This window comes from Homo sapiens, chromosome 11, assembly GCF_000001405.40.
Source record: "Homo sapiens chromosome 11, GRCh38.p14 Primary Assembly".
NCBI classification, from domain to species: Eukaryota; Metazoa; Chordata; class Mammalia; order Primates; family Hominidae; genus Homo; species Homo sapiens.
The window spans coordinates 96364396-96384773 of record NC_000011.10 but is presented as its reverse complement, the minus strand read 5'-3'; the positions used below and the strand labels follow the sequence as shown (position 1 = coordinate 96384773).

The 20378-nt window shown below is 34.2% G+C and overlaps 1 protein-coding gene across 18 annotated transcripts in view; it reads left to right on the top strand.

Annotated features, from left to right (window-relative positions):
• The window catches only part of CCDC82 (coiled-coil domain containing 82), a 37140-nt gene that overhangs the window by 5139 nt on the left and 11623 nt on the right, over positions 1–20378 (top strand). For 16 of the 18 annotated variants that reach the window (NM_001437542.1, XM_017018310.2, XM_011542988.4 and 13 more), the window contains 5 exons: positions 13–812; positions 1301–1505; positions 11307–11399; positions 13637–13761; positions 19624–19794. In NM_001437542.1, coding sequence (NP_001424471.1) covers positions 27–812; positions 1301–1505; positions 11307–11399; positions 13637–13761; positions 19624–19794 — 1380 coding nt within the window. In that variant the 5' untranslated portion in view covers positions 13–26. Of the gene's footprint in view, positions 1–12; positions 813–1300; positions 4240–11306; positions 11400–13636; positions 13762–19623; positions 19795–20378 lie in introns of those variants that run through there. The other 2 variants (NM_001363594.2, NM_001318737.3) reach the window with 2 other exon arrangements.

Below are 20378 nucleotides of genomic sequence, written 5' to 3'. Positions count from 1 at the left end.
TTTATTTTATAGAAGCTTAAGTGAAAATGATACATGTTAGAAGACATGAAACAAGGAGAAATTCTAAGAGTCACGTGCCTGAGCAGAAATCTCGAGTTGATTGGAGGCGAACTAAAAGAAGTAGTATCTCACAATTACTTGATAGTGATGAAGAGCTTGATAGTGAAGAATTTGATAGTGATGAAGAGCTTGATAGTGATGAAAGTTTTGAAAATGATGAAGAGCTTGATAGTAACAAGGGACCTGATTGTAATAAAACACCAGGAAGTGAAAGAGAGCTCAACTTAAGTAAAATTCAAAGTGAAGGAAATGACAGTAAGTGTCTCATTAACTCTGGCAACGGTTCAACATATGAAGAAGAAACGAACAAAATCAAACATAGGAATATTGACTTACAAGATCAGGAAAAACATTTAAGTCAAGAGGATAATGATCTCAACAAACAAACTGGACAAATAATAGAGGATGATCAGGAAAAACATTTAAGTCAAGAGGATAATGATCTCAACAAACAAACTGGACAAATAATAGAGGATGATTTAGAAGAAGAAGACATCAAGCGAGGAAAAAGAAAAAGGCTATCCTCTGTGATGTGTGACAGTGATGAGAGTGATGACAGCGATATCCTAGTTAGAAAAGTAGGTGTTAAACGTCCCCGTAGAGTGGTTGAAGATGAAGGTTCTTCAGTGGAAATGGAGCAAAAGACTCCTGAAAAAACATTAGCTGCACAAAAGCGAGAAAAACTTCAGAAGCTCAAAGAACTCTCAAAACAAAGATCTCGTCAGAGACGCAGTAGTGGTAGAGATTTTGAGGTGTGTTATATTTTGTTGGATTTGTTATTGTTTTTCAGTTTTTTTCTTAAAGTATTTAATTTTTATAAAAAAGTGCTGAGTCCGTTCCATTTCTCAATAATTCTAGAATTTATTTTTTAATCAAGTATTCTTGAACATGTTTGATTACACTATTGTACGTAATATACTGTTTTATCATGAGCCTCAGTCCATCCTTTTTTAAAATTGAAAGACTATTTGTTATTTTATATGATCTTTCTTGTTTTTAACTTCTTATAATTCTAATGTCCATTTTAAACATTTTACATCACTTAACCAAGGTATATTCTTCTTAATAATTTCAAAAGTTCAGCATTTAATATGACAAAATTATTTATTTTTAACTTTAAAATATGAAGTTAATTACTATGGATCATTTTTTTGCTGTCAGATTTAATGTTTTAATTTTATATCGATGCTTACCGTTTTAATAGCACCATTTACTGAAGCATTTATTTTAATTTAATTAGGACTCTGAAAAGGAATCTTGCCCAAGCAGTGATGAAGTTGATGAGGAGGAAGAAGAGGATAATTATGAATCTGATGAAGATGGAGATGATTATATTATCGATGACTTTGTAGTGCAAGATGAGGAGGGTGATGAAGAGAATAAAAACCAACAAGGAGAAAAATTGACTACATCACAACTGAAATTAGTAAAACAGAATTCTCTTTGTAAGTTCAATATTAAGAAAATGTTTCATGAATTGTTCTCATGATATTTTATCAAGTATCAAATTAGCCTTTTAATATCATGTTCTAAATCATTGACTAGAAACTGTGGTTTCATTTTCAGATAACCTTGTCAGTTTAATAGTTTATTCCAGTGGTCTCAGGAACCATTTACATTTTTCAAAATTATTAACCCCAACACGCCTTTACTTCAATGAGTTATGCCTGTCAATATTTACCATTGTAGAAATCAAAACTCAGAAATTTAAAATATATTTATTAATTCATTTAAAATAATCCTTAGTAAATTTATTACATTAATGTAAATAACAATTTTATGAAAAGTAACTATATTTTTCCCCAAAATGTGATAAATGGCATTGTTTTACATTCTTGTAAATCTTTAATGTCTAGCTTATAGAAGCCAGCTAGATTCTTATATCTGCTTTTACGTTCAGTCTGTTGTGACATGTTGTTTTGGTTGAAGTGTATGAAAACAATTTTGCCTCACACAGGTAGCTGGAAAAGGGAGGAGTATTTTAATAGTATTTTAAAAATAATTGTTGATATTCTCATTTGATACTATGCCAAAATTTGACAAATGATACTGTTTTCTTAAAGATAATATGGAATTCAAAACCATATAAATGAACTTTTAGTACTTGCATTACAACCATTGGTCTGTCGTGCAGTTTAAATAGATAATTTCCCCATGCATGATTTTGTGATAAAATGCATCAGTCATTTGGAAAATACTGGTTCACTGGATGATACAGATCCTCCAAAATATTGACATATTTCATTATATATATATTTTTAATTATATTCATTAATATCACCACCAATCCCATGAGAATATTTCTCAGGTATTGAGAAGCCGTCAGGCTCAGAATAGCACATACAAGTTTTTCAAAATTCTAATTTCTGCTTTAAAACTTGATTGTTTTCATTGGCGACAAAACACCGAATTGTTCTTTTTGAACTGACAGGCTTACTTTGTTCTTTTTTGAGAAAAGTCTGACAGATTCCCAAGTCTGAATAACCAGAGCTTGTCACTCTTTCTTTCAAATAAAAATGGTATTTCATGAAAAATGAGGCTTTCCCCCCACACACACAGTTGCACAGGTGTTTTTCCCTCAAAACAACCATTGTACTTTGGTATGCAGTATGAGTGCTTTTTATGCACTTTCCATTTCATCCTATAGAGTACTACAAAGATGTGTACTTCACATTCAAGATTTAATACAGTTAATAGTTTTACTGCTTCAACGAGGACATTCTTAAGTGAAAGTGGCTTTTTTTACTGTGAGTGCATAGTGGTAATGACAGTAATGATTACTAGTAGTTTGATGCTACTGCCATGATTCAAGTTAAGGGGCCAGCTGCCTTACCCATCACTGCTTTTACATCATCAATGAAAATGTCAACACAGTGAAAAAAGCAAATAAATAATATTGTTATTACTTGAAATCACAGATTTCCTTAAATGGACTTGGGCACTATCAGGGGTCTGCGGACAAACACTTTGAGAACCATTGGTTTTATCAGACTTTTTGAAGCTTCTCTCAAACAGTGAAACCTATCAGAGATAGGACGTTACTTACATGAAAATATAAATCATGGAACCTGAAAATGTAGGATATATTTAAATTATTATTATTATGATTCCTATAATTCTACAAAATTTCAAAGATTGTTTTTATGATGTTTTACAGCTCTGGTAGGAACAAGGTGTTGGATGGATATACTTTTATTTTTTTTCTTTGAGTGCATTCTTTCCAAATATTTCAGAAAAGGCCATATTGACTAAAATAAAGTGTGACATGACTTGATTTATATCTCATGATTTATAATAAAATAGTGGATTTGGAGATATGAATCAAATTTCAAGAAATTTGGCAGTTATAGAGATGCCAGTTACAGTTATCTCTACACTGCAAGTTAATGACTGTTTTCCTTATATCAGTAGGCACTGGTTCACTTGCCACCTGGACATTTAAATTACAGGGATACTCAATTAGGAGATATCCTATTTTGGGTTATCTAGAATGTGATGGAACATTTGCTGAGAGATGCCAACTCATATCAACTCCTGCCAATTAATGGAAATAAAAGGCTAGCATATGGGAACTTCAACTTCTTTACACCTTTTAGTTGTTTTTTTTAAGGGCACTTTTGGAGTTACAGAAATATTGAATGGAATGTACAGAGTTCAAATATACTTCCTCACGTACACAGTTTCCCCTATTATTAACCTCTTTTATTAGTTTGGTACCTCTGTTACAGTTATTAACTGTAGTTCATACTTCACAACAGGGCTCATTTTTTAGTACCTTTTATGGGTTTTGACAAGTGTGTAATGACATGTATCTACCATTACACTATCATACAGAGTAGTTTCATTGTCCTCAAAATGCCCTGTGCTTTAATTCATTCTCCTTTCCTCCCTCCTCTGAATCACTGATGTTTTTACCCTCTCCATAGTTTTGCTTTTGCCAAACTGTCATATAGTTGGAATCACACAGCATATAACTTTTCAGATTGTCTTCTTTCACTTAATAATATGCACTTAGGTTTCCTCCATGTCTAAATGTGGCTTAATAGCGCATTTCTTTTTATCGCTGAATATTTTTCATTGTATGGATGTACCACAGTTTTGTTCATCCATTCACCTATTGAAAGACATCTTGGTTGCTTACAAGTTTTGGCAATTGTGAATAAAGCTGCTATAAACATTCATGTGCAGGTTTTTCTATGGACATAAGTTTTCAACTCATTTAGGTAAATATGAGGAGGTTTCCTTTAAATACTGAGGCTTCCTGTTAATACTGAGCATCTCTACCTCAGGAAGATGTATATGTTTTTATGCAACATATTTTATCTTGTGTATTCTTAATTACAGCTTCTCATTCGGCTCTATTATCTACTCAGTTCTCTTTATTTTCAATGATTTTATCCCTACAAACTCTTTTTCCTCAACTTGTAACCAAGTTCATGCCTTTCCTCCTTTGAGTTGGCATGTTCCATTAGCTACTATTTTAAATTTTATCTTTTTGTTCCCATTTCCCAGTAACTCTACAAAGCACTGTATTCAGGCTCTTGCTTGTGTCAGTCCAGTGAAATTGTTCTTACTGAAGTTATTGATACCCTCCTAATTGCCAAAATACCTTTAGTTCTTATATTAACCAGGTATTGTCATGTACTTTACTACCATTGACCACTCTCACTTTCAGAATGCTCTTCTACTTTCTGTGGTACCCTACTTTTCTTGCATTTCCGTTTGTAATATTCCTTTCCTCTATTACTATTTACCATGTAAATTTTGATGTTTCCAGGGGTTCCATCCTCAACTATCTTCATTTTGGTTGTGGGTTTGGGCAGTCTCTTTCCCATTACTTCAGTCCAGTCGTTAAGCAGAAATTCCCAAACATTTATCTCTAGCCAAGATTTTTCCTGAACATAAAGCCTAATTTGTTTTTATCTTATTGAAGATTGTTATCAGACTTTCAGACATCTCAGGCTCAATAGGAACAAAACTGAATGATTAAGAGGTAATATGAAGGAGTTTTGGGTGGTGATAGAACTGTTTTGGTGTTGGTTATGTAATTTTATGCATTGGCCATAGAACTGTACACCAAAAAGAGTGAATTTTATGGTATATAAAGTAGTAAAGCTCAATAAAACAAGCCATGTGGGTGCCCCTACTTCCAAAAAACAAAAACAAAACCTAAATAGTTAACCAGCTTCCCTTTTCTATATTTCTAGTACCCATTAGAGTTCGTGACACCTTATAGGAACTCATTGTTAAGTTCCTATAGATGATTAAGATAAGCATATTGGCTAAAGACTCCTGAATGTTACAGTTCAAGACTCAGAGAAATATTGGACATCAGATTTTTTCAAACATTAGAGAAAAAAATTCACATATTCTAGAGTGATAATTTATGATTGAGTTGATATTTTTAATATTTAGCAATTTTATACCATATCTAAATATAATAAATAAAATTTAATATAGACAGTTTTCAATTTGCCAGGGAATTATGTTCTAAAAATTGCATTTGAAAATCAAAGTACATTTTCTCATTAAAACAGTAACCTATGTGATGAATAATGAACACCACTCTACGACTTGGGTTAAGTTGTAATTAGGCTAGTATTCCCAGATTCATTCTCCTGCCAACGAATCATATTCAACATATGAGAATTTGGGAGAAAATCTCCTAACTCTAAATTCAGTATTTCAGTTGACAATCGGAATCAGTAGTCCATGTACTTGCCTTTTTGAAGTGAGCAATTCTTACCTATAGGAAGACATTTTGTAATTTCCTATCTGCCATTTGGCTCTGAGAGATGCACCACAGGGTAGTTTCCCTCTTGCTACAGTCATAGTCTTTTTCTTTTATTATCAATCCCTATTAGTGTCTCTTTATATTTATTCTGAAACTACAATTCTTGGAAAAGATATGGTAGGGAGTAGAGGGACAAAATAGCAGTGGTCCATTGCATGCCACATTTACATAGTTCACACACTAAAAATATTGTATGCAGGTAAAGAGGAAAAATCTTCAGATTTGTGGATACTAAATATTATTTATCCAGTACTCTATTATATATTCAGAGGGACAGAATCAAGGAGTAGAGATAAGAGTAGAATACATTTCGGTCTACTAGTGCCTTGCTAGAACACTGGAAATTAGACTAAGTGAACATCCACTTAGTCTCCATCTACTAATTAAAGAAAATCATTCTATTAACACAATAAAGAGTGGGCCTAAGAATGGACTCAGAACCATTTATGTTAAATATTAAATCTTAGAACTTTCCCTTGTTCTAGGATAAGTAAAAAGTACCTGTGAAATTTATTGCAGTATAAGGTAAAGGTAGACTCAGAGGAAGAAAATAACTGTGAAAAGTGTTTCATTAAAAGAAACAAGAAAATGCTATAAAGCATTTGCTATGCAGTCTATGAAAAAGAAGTTATAAGGAGATAACAATTTGAGGTGAAAGGGAGCTAGCTAAAATAAGAATTGCCAAAAATTTTAAAATGTAAAGTCAGAAATAAAGTCTATGGAAAGCAGTAGATAGCAGAATTAACAGTACAGAAAATCTCATGAATGACAGGAGATAGTTGAGAAGTTCTAGGGTAGAGAAGAAAAAAATAGTTATAAAGGAGAAGATAATAAAGGACTACAAACGAAGACCCTATTTCACAAATTTGGGGGAGGGAGTGGCAGAAATACAGAACAAATGGAAATGTAAAGGAAGAAAATTGTATAACTTTAGATATGTAAAAGAAAATTTGAATGTACTAAAAATCATACCATATTTTTGGATGGGAAAACATAAGATATGAATTCAAGGTTATTATAGAAGAAAGTATTCTTGAGGTATTTTCATAATGCGTAACACATTTATGCAGATTAAAGAGGCCCACATTGCTAATAAATTGATGAAAATAGTTTTGCAAACAGATGTATGAACTGTTTATGTAATTACAAGAATAAAGAAAAAGATCCCTAATCATTCTTTTTAGAACTATAAAAATGGCTTAATATTAGAAGTCATTAATATATTACATTAATATATCACATTAATATATCAATAGAGAAAAAGTCATATAATTTATTGAGATTCTAGGAGAAACATTGGTAACATTCAATGTCCATACCTGGCTTTTAAGAAAAGCAGTTGTTAAAAAATTAGTAATAGGAACATACGTCCTTTACATGACAGTATTTTAAACCAAGAGACAACAGCATACTTAAAATGAGGAACATGACAAAAATATTTTCTACTGACTTTGTTCTAGATGTTTTGAAAAATGCAACAAGACATGAAAACAAAAGAAATATAACTATTGAAAAAGAAAAGACATTATTTGAACATAATATGTGTGTGTGTGTGTGTGTGTATTATGTACACACATATAAGCTAAAAGTTTCTGACTTAACAAAGGATACAGAAGTTAAGAGAAGGGATATAAATACTTTAAAAGCAGGAGTAGACGTAGCATATCTTTTCATGGCTTGCATCACATTCTTTTTGCCCTACAAGGGTGAAGATAGGGGAGATATGTTAAAGTAGAAAAAGAAATCAGTTTCTTGTTCTGCCTCTGCCTCATACACTAGGCTGATATCTCCATTCCAGAAGAAAGTACATCAAAAATCTACATGCTTTTACCTAAGCGAATATTTGTAAACATTCTCTTGGTTCTTGAAATAAATTTACCACTAGCAAGACCACATCCTCCTGGGGGTTGTGGGAGAAAGCAGAGATAGTGTCCAGGAATCCTTTAACAGTGTCCATCTCCAGCTCTGTAGTGTCCCAGGAAGCTTATCTCCCAGAAATATCCAAGAGAATCTGACTATTTTGAAATTGGTAAAAGATCTCAGAAAAATCACCAGATTCACAGTAAGTATGTAAATCTCAATGGTTCTCTTGTATACTAGCAATAATTACTTAAATGATATAATCAGGAAAAATTCCATCTACAATCGCAACCAAAATAAAGTTCCTAAGCCTAATATTAAGAAGAAAAGCAGGCCAGGCGCGGTGGCTCACGCCTGTAATCCCAGCATTTTGGGAGACTGAGGAGGGCGGATCACCTGAGGTCAGGAGTTCGAGACCAGCCTGGCCAACACACAGAAACCCTGTCTCTACTAAAAGTACAAAAATTAGCCAGGCATGGTGGCGGGCGCCTGTAATCCCAGCTACTCAGGAGGCTGAGGCAAGAGAATCGCTTGAACCTGGGAGGCGGAGGTTGCAGTGAGCCAAGATCGTGCCACTGCATTCTAGCCTGGGTGACAAGAGTAAGACTCCGGCTCAAAAAAAAAAAAAAGAAAAGCACGGCTTGATAGGTTAAAAAAAATACACTTTACTGTGAAACAGAACAGAAAACATGGATAAGCGGAGAGACAAGCATGTTTCTGAAAGGTAATATGCGTAGAACAAGAAGTTATTTCTTCTGAAATTAGTTTTTTTGGTTAAACTTTGCAAAACAATTCTAAAGAATGACAGCCAGACCAGTAGGAAGGGCAGATGGTTTGAAAAAAAATCTTGGCATATATGTGAAATTAGTATGTGATAAAGGATACATGGAAATCAACAAAGAATGATTAGACTACCAAATGATTGGCTATAAGGAAATTGATTACCTTAGAAAAAATAAGTTATGCATAAACACAAATATAGTTTCCTCTTTAATACTTTTTCCAGTTTTTTAAATAGTCATGGGGAAAACTTATTTAAAATGTTTAAAATATTGTTTAAAACAATATTCCTGGGACATTCCACAGAAGCTCATTCAATATAGGGATTAAAGCACTATGAGAAAAGCTCTGAAGGAGAGCTGAGCTCTAAGCCTTATTTTGCCTCCGTCTAGTTATGTCACCTTGGATAAGTTATTTTGTCATTGAGAATGCCATTTTTCTTAAGATGGGAGATTTGAATTTTATTTTCTCCAGTTTTCCATCCAAGTCTAAATTTTGTGTTGTGACATATATCAAATCTACCATGTGTAACAATATTTAACTAGGGGATAGGAACATGAAATCTGGACTTAGATGGGGTTCCAGCCCTAGTTCCGAAACTTACTGTTTGGTCTTAGGAAAGTTTTTCATCCTCTCTATATTTCAGTTTTCTCAACCAGAAATGAATCTAGGATAATGGTAGTATCCCACAGGCTTGTTGTGAAAAATAAAGCAATGCATGTAAATGCTTACAATGATGCCTGGCATATATTTTGCTCAGTAATATTATTTTTCAATTTGAAATTCCAGGAGCATTAACCCACCACCACCCACCAGTCTACTCAAGCATAATGAAATAGGTGCCTTTTTCCTGACTTTTTTGAAGTACATTCTGATATCCATTGATAAAAGAAGAATCTTATGGTTAGGGACAAGACTTCTCAAATGATTTTGATCTCTGCCCTTTCAATTTCCTCTCAGGGTCTTTGAAATAGAGCAGCAGTTAGTTCTCAAGACTCTATAGCAAATGAGTAGCACTGGGCATAAGGACATTCAAGAATGATACCTTCAGTAGGATGAAATATTCTATGCAATTTGTATGATAGTTAAACTTAGGTGCACATGGGATGAATTTGATTTGTTTCTCAACACATCTGTTAATAGTCCCAGTTTCTCTTAATACCATTTGAGAAATGCTTTTATAGATACAGTTTAGATGGATTTTAACACAAATAAAATTGCCCAATATTATATTATGTCCAGAGTTTGATAACAGTCTAGTCAAATTCTATTGAAGTATTATTTCTTTTTTTTTTCTTTTTGGTCTGAATGTTTGCATGTCCCCCAAATTTATTTACTTATTTATTTAGAAATTTTTAATAAGATTCACTAGTGGCAATGTAAATAAATTACAATCCAAAATGAAATTAGACAAATCTATCTAATAAATAAATTCATAACCATTATTACTTGCTTATAACATATCTGGCAGAGATGTTTAAAATGTCAACAATATTAATTTTTTGAGGGTGGAGAGTAGGAGGAGGGAGAGAAGCAGAAAAGATAACTATTGGGTACTGGGTCTAATTCCTGGGTGATGAAATAATCAGTACAACAGACCCTTATGACATGAGTTTACCTGTGTAACAAAATGAAGTATTATTTCATTTTTCAATTATGCCGTACTGATTTTTAAGAAAATATTATATTCATTAAAGGCCATGATTATTGCCTTTGATCATAGGCCATCTAAAGGCTAATGGCCAAATGATCTGCTATTGTCATTTATTTTTAGTATTACTTTATTTTTGTCTCTTTAGCACTTCTATAGGTGTCTCCTTAGAAAAGAATGCATACTAAAATGTACCCTAAAGTCTGAAAGAGAGTTATACAGCCCTTTGAGTAACTAAAATATAAATGAAGAGGGTTTTCCATGTTGAATCCCATCTTTCTTTTTACTTCAAGTGGAAGGAGAGTCAAAATCTATCCATGGTTGCTAATGATAGGTCTTATTTTGCTTTAATCCCTTGTCAGACATCTTCTATATTTCTCGAAATACTCAGTCTGCCCTTAATATGTCTTCACAGGTGCCCTGAGCAGGGCATGTATTCTACAGTGACTGTTGGATCAAGGAATGGGTCGTGGTTGATAGAGAACATTTCCACAGTCATAGTAAACTCTGATCCAAAAGTAATGAGAATAGTAGGAATCTTCTCTCTTAACCACTGCCTGGCCTGTCACAACAGATGATGTCATGTGTGAGATTTGGTTAGCGAGGAAGTGGGCTTAAATATGTGGTATGGGGAAGGAAATAGACAAGTTTTCTAAATTGATGTAGAAAATCCTAAATCTGGGGCAGCATGAAAAGGGAAATGAAGTTTTTGTAGCCATTGGGGTTCTGGCTAAGATAGCAGTTCCCTGGACAATTTCATATGTAACGCGTTTTACAGAATAAGACATATTAATCTGTCTTTGGAGGTTTTCTCTCTTGTTCTGTCACTCTAAGTGTCAAATTGATAATTAAATATAGGTGTGCAAGGGATAATTTTTATTTTTTAAACTTATTTTAATATTCTCTGAACAGTTTTCTTAAGTTTGGGAAGTAAAGATTTGAAATTACAAGTAGACACTTTGGATTGGAAGCCAGTAAGTTTGGAAAATGGAGATTTGCTCCGTGACTAAACAAGTCATCGAGGAAGCTATAAAATTAGGATGATTAAGCTGTTTGTGCTATCTATAGTTTTAATTTCTTAGCAGTGGAGAATGGAACCTATTGTATTCAAGAAATTATTTTGTCTGCTCTGTTCTAATATTTATTTGAAATTAATTTCAGATTCTTTTAGTGACCACTATACTCATTTTGAAAGAGTTGTGAAGGCTCTTCTGATCAACGCTTTAGATGAATCTTTTCTGGGAACATTATATGGTAAGTTAATACTATGAATGAAACAATTGGTTTTTATTTCTTTTTCCAATTTTAAAACAACCTCACTTTTAAAACTATGTAGATTAAACAAAACCAATGAGGATCATTTGTAAGACCTTCCAATGTTTTCCCTGTAGGATCAACTACATCAAAACTCCATTCATGTAAAATGCTTGTTAGTGTTCATTATCTGAGATATGTGGAAGGTAAGTTTGTGACAGGTCCTTTCCCTTAGGGAGTTAACAGTGAATTTGACAGGATAACACCTAAAACAGCAGAGTGTCTTAATACCCATGTGCCAAACCCAGCCTCTCTGAGCTCTGAATTTCATTAAAAGTTCCATGCTGTTTTCTGCTTTTGTGCCTTTGTCCATGCTGTTTCTTCTTAGAATAGAATCCCTTTTTGTCCCAGATGTTTTAGGTGAGTGTAAAAACATTTGTACTATGAATCTATCTATGACCCATTCACATAATATTTATCATTCTCATTTGTGCCGCCATCATTCTGAGTATGGTAATACTCATAGTACTCATTTATATGCACTTTTCATGTTGTATTGAAAATGTATTTTTGCTTTCTTCCCTTATCATAGTGTGGGAGCAAATTTATAAATATATATATAAATATACGTATATTTATATATTTATATATATAAATATATATGTATATATATATTTTTATATATTTATTTATATTTATATATGTTTATATATATTTATATTTATATATATATTTATATTTATATATATATATCCCCATTTCTCTTGCATCTAGCACAGAATCTGGCATTTAATAGACTATAAATATATTGTGTTGAATAACTAATTGCCAAATAAGATTTCATTTACAATATATTGAACAAATATTTATTGAATGTCTACTATAAGCTAGGCATTATTTGAGGGCTGGGGATGTGACAGTGACTTAAGGCATATTAGATTCCTGCACTCATGTTACTTATAGTCTAATGGGAGAGACAGACAATAAATGAGTAAACAAAATATAATACGATTTCAGTGGTGATTAGTTCTTGCAAAAAAATAAAATAGGGTAAGAAGATTGAGAATAAGGGAAGGTAAAGTTTATGTTATCTGCTAGTTAGATTAGTCAAAAAAGGCCTCTTGGGGTAGCTTTTAAACAGAAACCTGAATGAAGCAAAGGGAGCAAGTAATACGTGGATTACTTGCTTAGCAGAGGGCAAAGGAGGTGCTAAGGCCTTTAGGAAAGAGTAAGTTTGGTGTGTTCAAGAACAACTAGAAGGCCTTTGTGGCTGAAGTGGAATGAGACAGGAGAGAGGGAAAAGAGAGGAGCTCAGAGGAGTAGGCTGAGGACAGAAGGGCTTTGTAAGCTATGGTAAGGTGTTTGAATTTGTGATTATTTAAAGAAACATGATAAATTTATTAGTTAAATTAATTAATAAAACTTCAAATAAGGCAAGAAAATAAAGCTTAAATTCATACGATGACAGATGTATATAGAGAATATACTATGAGCCAAATCAGAAAGGCAGTAATGAGTGTAGCATGCTAAAGAAGAATGAGGAAAACGCCTAGCTAGAAAAGAGTATTCTGATTTGTTGACACAAGGAGTTACCATGGGATCAGTAGAATGGAGTCAATTGTAGACGGCCTTGAAAGCCTATTCAGAAGTTTGAACTTTATCTGGAATTCAGGGGCTAATTCATGTCAGTTTTGTATAAGAGAATAAAAGATAATTTGATAAGCTTTTTCATCTGACTTTTTTTGTTATCAGAAAGTAATGTTAAAGCTTGATGCTTACAAAGGGAACTTTTTGAGACGGAGTCTCACTCTATCACCCAGGCTGGAGTACAGTGGTGCGATCTCAGCTCACTATAAGCTCCCCCTCCCGGGTTCACACCATTCTCCTGCCTCAGCCTCCCGAGTAGCTGGGACTACAGGTGCCCGCTACCACGCCTGGCTAATTTTTTGTATTTTTAGTAGAGATGGGGTTTCACCGTGTTAGCCAGGATGGTCTCGATCTCCTGACCTCGTAATGCACCCACCTCGGCCTCCCAAAGTGCTGGGATTACAGGCATGAGGCACCGTGCCCGGCCTACCCTGTTTTTCCTTAATGTTCTGATGGAATGATTTTTTAAATATTTTTTTTCCTAATTTAAAATGCTTCCAACCAAGTTGGGAAGAAATTTTTAAGTATTAAATAGTTTAAATATTTCTAATTAACAAAATGATTTTTTTTGTTGTTTATCCCCTGAACAGATGGCACAAGGCAAAAATCATATGCAAAAGATATGCTAACATCTCTTCATTATTTGGATAACCGCTTTGTTCAGCCTCGTCTAGAGAGCTTGGTATCTAGAAGTCGTTGGAAAGAGCAATATAAGGTACACAGTTTGTTTTTGAATCTCTGCTTGGGGGTTGGGGGCAGCAAACCTCTCAGGATTTTAAAATCCAGACTGAATAATCTTCTAAAATATTGGCATGTCTTTGTTAAATAATCAGCTTATTATTTCTCACATCTTCTAAAAGTTATTATTGTTTTAATCCTTCACATTAACTATATCTATCCAATAATTAAGTGGTTCCAAATGATGAATAACTTCAGAACATCTCCAGGGCTTAGCCCATCTTTTAAAATGAGAAGATTGTCTCACACGGTGTTGTTATGTCAGAAAAGAGAGTTCCATGGTCAAAGAAATTTGAGAATCAGGGGTTGTAAGCTGGTTTCTTTACTGGAAGACTTTTCCCAAGCATTATATGTGAATTTATGTTATAAATATTCAAAGGGTGGTATGGAATGCAGTATTTCCTAAATTTGTGTTTTACTCTGTGAAGCTCTGTTTATGTAAACAGGTAACACCTGTTACCTGCTTGATTTCCATAACACATTGTTTGGGAAACACTGGTCTAGATAGTGTTTGGCATCTTTCTTTGCTTTAAGATTGCTTAATTCTACCAATTTGAAGAATTTATAATTTATCTTTTTAATTTATAAGATTTGCCACATTTTGTTTCATGTACCAGTTATCTATTTTATGATCTTTAATAGCAGAGGATGTACTATATGATTTGTAAGGGTTTTCTCCCTGTTACTTCTAACATTCTATATTCTAATGATTAGGAAGAGGAAAAATAAAAAGATAATTGAAGTTTAAGTTATTTAAAATCCTTTTAGCACTTAAATCATTAGTTCTTGTACCTCATTTATGCCAAGAGATTTGGTTTCATCCAAGGCTTTTCAGCCTTGTTGAATTATATGGTGATAAATTAGCCATAGATTAGGTTTATAAGACAGTGTAGGATTACAGAAAGAGTTTAAAAGACTTCAAGTTGGAGGATGGCTTGAGTTTAGGGCTATTGAGTTTTTGACTTTTGATAAATTTAACCTCTCTGAACCCATTTCTTCTTCATAGGTGGAAAATATTTACCTATTGTGAAATGAAATACTGTATATACTTATTTTCTTTGAAGATAAAGTACAGGCACAGCTTTTAGAACATGGCATAAATACTGTTTAATAGAAAAATAGCATATATAAGCATACCTCGTTTTGTTGCATTCCACTTTATTGCACTTTGCAGATAATGTATTTTTTTGAGATTGAAAGTTTTTGGCAACTGCATGGAGCAAGTCTGTTGGCACCATTTTTCTAACACCATATGCTTATTCATCTCTGTCACATTTTGGTAATTATTGCAGTATTTCAAACTTTTTCATTATTATTACATCTTTTATGGTGATCTGTGGTCAGTGATCTTTGATGTTACTATTATAATTGTTTGAGGGTGACAGAAACCATGCCCATATAATAGTGAACTTAATTTACAAATGTGTGTGCTGACTGCTCCACCAACTGGCTGTTTTCCCATCTCTCTTCCTCTCCTCAGGCATCCTTATTCCTTAAGACACAACGGTAATGAAATTAGGTCAATTAATAACCCTAAAATGGCCTCTGATCGTTCAAGTGAAAGGAAGAGTTGCAGGTCTCTCACTTTAAATCTAAAGTGAGAAATGATTAAGCTTTTTGAGGAAAGCATGTCAAAAGTTCAGATAGGCTGAAATGTAAGCCTCTTGCTCTTGTGCCAGACAGTTAGTCAAGTTGTGAATGCAAAGGAAAGTTCTTGAAGGAAATTAAAAATAATACATAAATGATTGAAACAGCCTTATTGCTGACATGGAGAATGTTTTAGTGGTATGGATTGAAGATCAAACTAGCTACAACATTCGTGTAAGCTAAAGACTAATCCAGAGCAAGGCCGTAACTCTTCAATTCCATGAATGCTCAGTGAGGTGAGGAAGCTTCAGAAGAAAAGTTTGGAGATAGCAGAGGTTGGTTCAATTTATGAGGTTTAAAGAAAGAAGCCATCTCCATAACGTAAAAGTGCAAAGGTGAAGCAGCAAGTGCTAATGGAGAAGCTGCAGCAAGTTGTCCAGAAAAACTAGCTAAGATAACTGATGAAAGTAAACAACAGATTTTTTCAGAGTAGACAAAATGGTCTTTTGTTAGAAGAAGATGCCTTTTTTTTTTTTTGAGACGGAGTCTCTCTCCATCGCCCAGGTTGGAGTGCAGTGGCGCAATCTCGGCTCACTGCAAGCTCCGCCTTCTGGGTTCACGCCATTCTCCTGCCTCAGCCTCCTGAGGAGCTGGGACTACAGGCGCCTGCCACCACGCCTGGCTGATTTTTTGTATTTTTAGTAGAGACGGGGTTTCGCCATCTTATCCAGGATGGTCTCGATCTCCTGACCTCATGATCCGCCTGCCTCAGCCTCCCAAAGTGCTGGGATTACGGACGTGAGCCACTGCACCCAGCCTACCATCTAGGACTTTTATAGCTAAAAAGAAGTAAATGCCTGGCTTCAAAGCTCCAAAGGACAGGCTGACTCTCTTGTTAGGGGCTAATGCAGCTGGTGACCTAAGTTGAAGCCAGTGCTCATTTACCATTCCTAGAATCCAAGGGTCCTTTGAGAATTATGCTAAACTGACTCTGTTTGTGCTCTATAAATGGAACAACAAAACCTGAATGATAGCACATCTGTTTATAGCATAGTTTACTGAATATTTTTGGACCACTGTTAAGACCTACTACTCAGAAAAAAAAAGATTCTTTTCAAAATATTATTCCTCATTGACAGTGCACCGGGTCACCCAAGAATTCTGATGGAGATTTACAAGGAGATTAATATCATTTTAATACCTCCCAGCACATCCATTCTGCAGCCTATGGATCAAGGAGTAATTTTGACTTTCAAGTTTTATTATTTAGGAAATAAATTCCAGGCCAGGTGTGGTGGCTCAGGCCTGTAATCCCAGCATTTTGGGTGGCCGAGGTGGTGGATCACCTGAGGTCAGGAGTTTGAGACCAGACTGGCCAACATGGTGAAACCCCGTATCTACTAAACATACAAAAATTAGCCAGGCATTATGGTGCACACCTGTAATTCCAGCTACTGGGGAGGCTGAAACAGGAGAATCGCTTGAACCTGGGAGGCAGAGGTTGCAGTGAGCCGAAATCACACCACTGCACTCAGTCTGGGTGACACAGCAAGACCCTGTCTCAAAAAAAAAAAAAAAAAAAGAAATACATTTCATAAGATTGTAGCAGCCATAGACAGTGATTCTTCTGATGTATCTAGGCAAAGTAAATTAAAAACCTTCTGGAAAGTATTCACCATTCTAGATGCCATCAAGGACATTTATGATTCATGAGAGAAGGTAAAAATATCAACATTAACAATTAAATTGAAAGAATTTGATTCCAACCCTCCTGGATGACTTGAAGGGGTTCAAGACCTCAGTGGAGGAAGTAACTACAGATATGGTTGAAATAGCAAGAGAACTAGAAGTAGAAGTGAAACTTAAAGATGTGACTGGATTGCTGCAATCTCATGATAAAAATTGAATGGATGAGGAGTTGCTTCTTACGGATAAGCAAAGAACGTGGTTTCTTGAGATGGAAACTACTCCTAGGAAAGGAAAGATACTACAAACATTGTTGAAATGACAACAGTGGATTTAAAATATGGTTGTTAAAGCAGTGTCAGGGTTTGAGAGGATTGACTCCAATTTTGAAATAAGTTCTATTCTGTATAACATACAATCAAATATACAATCAAACAGCATTGCATGCTACAGAGAAATCTTTCATGAAAGGAAGAGTCAGTGGATGCAACAAACTTTATTGTTGTCTTAAGAATGGATGCAACAAACTTTATTGTCTTGTTTTAAGAAATTGCCACAGCTACCCCAGCCTTCAGCAACTAGCCCCTTATCAGTCAGTAGCCATCCTATTGAGGCAAGACCCTCTATCAGCAAAAAGATGCCTATTCACTGGAGGTTCAGATGATTGTTAGCATTTTTTAGACCTAAAGTACTTTTTAATTAAATGTAGTTTAAATTACATACATTTTAGACATAATTCTGTTGCATGCTTAATAGACTACAGTACAGTGTAAACATAACTTTTATGTGTACTAGGAAACCACAAAATTTGTGTGACACGTTATTGATATATTTACTTTATTTTGGTGATCTGGAACCAAATCTGCAGTTTCTCTGAGGTATACCTGTACTGTATTTATAGATTATTTAACTTTAGCCAAGTAATCTACATGTAAACTAAAATTTTTTTTATCTTCAAAGTAACCCCATGAGGAAGACACTATTTTTGGAGGGAATAGAGGGGTCTCGTTCTGTGGCCCAGGCTGAACTTGAACTTCTGGGCTCGAGATCCTCCCACCTCAGCCTCCTGAGTTTCTGGGGCTACAGGCACGCGCCACTGTGGCCAGCTGGAGGGCACTATTATTTCCCCTCTTTTAGAGATGAGGAAACTGTCTCAGAAAAATAAAGTAACATAAGGTTCCACTGCTAATAATTAGACAGGCTGGTATTAAACCCAGAGTCTCAGACTCCAAAACCCATGCCTGTATGCCATATTAGGTTTTACCATATTGTGGTGGGTGATACTGAATTTGGATAATCTGATGTTGGGATAATAACTGTAAGATACCAAAAAGTATTAGCTGAAAAACTGAGACACAGATGATTCAGTAAGATCTTAATTAGGATAAGCTGGGTTATGCTTCAAAAGATAAAGAATATAACTAACAAACAAAATAAACCAACAATAAAATCCCAATGGCTTAACCCAACAAAGTTTATTTTCACTTATATATCCAGTGTTAGTCATCAGGGGTGCTCTGCTGACTGTAGTCACTCAGGGAACTGAGCTGATAGAGGTCGATAAAGGTTTCATCTTAACATGTGCTTCCATGGGGTATAGCAGAAGCAGGAAAGGAAGGTGGTTAGTTATCTATTCAGTCTGAATTTCAGCCTGTAAGTAATACATGTCATAAAGTGCCATGAAGTATGAGAAATATGAAAAGTTGACCACCAGAAAATGTAGTTTTCAATCATATAATATAAAAAGTAAACTGTCAGTATATTGGATACTTAATTACCATCCGTCTGGTAGAAGATATGAATGTGGTTTAGTAACCATGCTAATATGCTCACTGTGTGCAGTTCAAATATTGTATTAAAACCTAATCTACACTACCAATTAGAATAGTAGTATCTAGCACAGGCCTAGAACATAAGCAGAAATACTCAGGCACAAGTAACTTCATAGCTTAATAATGAAGCTTATTTATGAATGCCAAGTGTTTTCTCAGTTTGTTTACTCATTGATAACTGAGCTATTAAACTGTCCATATGAATACCAGACACGTGGCAGTCCTAGTGCCAACTTGTTTTTTCCCCAGGACTGTAGTAAGTTATCATAGGAGGATTGAATTATTTCTGGAATATTTTTGTGGCAAATATATAATTCATATAATGGAAAGTGAATGTGATTTTTTTTCTCAAGTTTTAACTAGCCTACTTGGAATTATTTTTCTTATATCATCCTACATTTTTGCTGCTCCTATTTTTAACTAATACCTCATTAACACTAACTAGAGATGAGAAATGGAAAAGAAGTAGCAACCGCAGAAGTGTAAGAGATATGAAACTAGCTTTTTCCTAGTCTGGTTTATTTTCATGCAATAGCCAAGATTATAAATTTTTTTATTTAAACATATCTTGTAAAATACCTACTATGTGCTCAGTATTAAAGTAAGAAATGCCAGGGTGTTTTGCTCTTATATCTCTTTGTATTGTAATCCCTAAGATGTTTTAATTGGTTAGATTCTTACTTTTATTTTTATTCTTTATCTTTTAAACTTTTTTTTATATTTTTTGTTTTCAGGAGCGAGTAGAAAATTATTCTAATGTAAGTATTCATTTGAAGAATCCTGAAAACTGTTCCTGCCAGGCTTGTGGACTGCATCGCTACTGTAAATATTCAGTGCATTTATCAGGAGAGTTGTATAACACCAGGACCATGCAAATAGATAATTTCATGTCACATGATAAACAGGTATTTTCTTCCCTCTAATCTTAATTTTCAGTATTTAGAAATTTTTATTTCATAAATAATCCTAAGTATCCTAAGGAAAATTTGACCCAAGTGGAAACATTTTTAGCATATAATCCACCAAATTGGCAACCCACAAGTAAATAATGGAAGATAGCTGTTCATCTAATAGGAGAGAATTCAAAAAACACTGTGCTTCAACTAGACTCTGTTAGAAGTATGTCAGAGTCTAGAGCAATCACCACATAGTTAAGATGCTATTAATTCTGTATGAATAGAAAAAACTGAAGAGTAAGTGTTTTTTAGACAAGAGCATAGCAGTATAATGTGAAATGATAAAAAGCACAGATGCTGACAACTTCTATTTATTTTTTCAATCTTACTTTATAAGATTGCTGCATTTACAAATGTGAAAATTATATTTATAAATGCAAGAAATACTGAGCGCTTTTTCTGGTAAGTCTACATATCCATGGAGGAGGTGTATATTTAGAGAGGTAGAGACCCAAAGTTGTCTCTGAATCCTCCCAGTCAATTATTAAGATGGAAATATAATATTTATCTAAATTCTTCTATTAAACTGGATA